General features: G+C 39.2%; 1 annotated feature.

The window, feature by feature from the left end:
• Positions 470–583: a transcriptional cis regulatory region, noted in NCBI's record as "candidate enhancer chr15.3490 targeted for multiplex CRISPR interference". NCBI's record gives its function as "positively regulates NR2F2 gene expression in K562 cells {active_cell/tissue: K562}" and the evidence as "EXISTENCE:mutant phenotype evidence [ECO:0000015][PMID:30612741]".

The raw sequence follows: 1762 nt of genomic DNA, 5'->3' as shown, positions 1-1762 counted from the left end.
TCTCCCCTGGACCCCCACGGCCGGGAGACATGTGCATCTGCATAAAGTCTACTACATTAAAGACCAAAAGGGCTGGCTTGCTTCTCCCACGGTCTTAAGTTAACACTTGTCTTTGTGTAGTCCAGTCTTTTCTGAACTTGAAATCCAATTGGCCAACAATTAAAGCCAATTAGCACGTGAGGAAAATAAACCAAAGACTCTCTCCCTGTGTTTTCCATGGCTTGATAGAAAGCTAGTTAGCTCAAGGCATTAGCATAGTTGTGTATCAGGCCAGGCATATAACGGAGACTAGTTGGCTTAAAGTATTAGAAGACTGGGGTAGCGGCTGGGGCAGCAGAACTGTGTTATTCTGAGCTAACAGCTGCCAAACATTCTTGACAGGAGATGAGGCAGATGTCCAAGGACAATCAAAGAGAGAAGAAAGTTTAAGCCAACGTTTGCCTATCTCATATTCTCTGCTTGATCCTCAGCCTCAAAGACAACGCACAGCTGCTGCACTTCAAGGTCTAGAGGCTGATCCCAACTCCCAGGCTGCCCCCACACCCCTGCTTATTCTCTGAGAGCTGGGCTCAGCTTTCCTATCAAGCCGCCCTTGCAGGTCATCTTGTTGGAGAGAGTGGGGCTTCTTGGTGACTTTTCGATATTCTGAACACTCACAATGTTTAGATCAAAATTCCACAGTGTGTGATAATCATAAGATTCGGGACTGAAAAAGCCTTTCTAGGACAACCCTAAATGGGCCAGCTTATCAGGAGACAAGATAAGTGGTGGCCAAAACAGCGTGTCCTTAGAGGTAAGAAATCATCAGTTCAAATACAAAGTGAAGAAAAGAGGAGCAATCCATGTGAAATCTAAATGCTGCGGATTTACTCTCAAAGCTGCGGACATTTTGTTTCAGCATTTCAATAATAGAAGGGATGTGGGGGATAAAAATTAAAGTACAAGTGTCCATTATGGATAAAGACACACAATATGCATCTGTACTGAAAGCGTTTGCCAAAACGTTGGCGTGTTATCTCTCCTGGGGGAGAGGCAGAGGGACTTTATTTCCCATCAGTGCTAAGAGGCATTTCATGTCCTATAGTACGGCAATATGCTTATTTACTAAAATCTTTTATTGTTATATGTTACACAGCATGTCAAAAATAGGCAACTCTTTCATGTTGTTAAACAACATCTGCAGGTAATGAAACAGTAGAATCTTCTCAAATAAAGAACCTGTGTAATTGTCAAAATCTTTACACATACCATTGTTCCACAGAGGGGGAACAACTCAAAATTTTATGTTAAATTTTTTTTCTATGTACCCTCATCTCTTGTATGAGATACACACTTACAATATTAAATTGTAATTATTTGATAAAAATATTAATCCAAATTTCACCCCGTACTCATGAGTCTGTAGGCAGATGTACCCTTTTAAATATATTAGTATCCTCAAAGCAAGGGCATAGTCTGGACTTAGTGTGTTTATTGAGCAAATGCATAAATGAATGAATGAAAAGCAGGTAGACTTAATCACATGCCAAACCTACTGAAAATACATGCAAACAATGCTCCTACAATTCAGTTGCCTATAGAAGCAGTAGAAAGCTATATTTTTAGAGGAGTACCTGAAAAGAACACAATATGAAATAGTTTCTTTTAAAAGCACTAATTTGTTAGGAGTTCTTTTATTTCAACAAAAAATATCTATTTAAAAATAACTATTGGAATTAGAGAAGGTTTTAAAAATTACATGTATTTCTACCCCGACAACTAA

The sequence above is a fragment of the Homo sapiens genome, chromosome 15 (assembly GCF_000001405.40).
Source record: "Homo sapiens chromosome 15, GRCh38.p14 Primary Assembly".
Lineage (NCBI taxonomy): Eukaryota > Metazoa > Chordata > Mammalia > Primates > Hominidae > Homo > Homo sapiens.
Note: the sequence above shows the minus strand (reverse complement) of the source record. Positions and strands in the feature narration are given on the sequence as shown.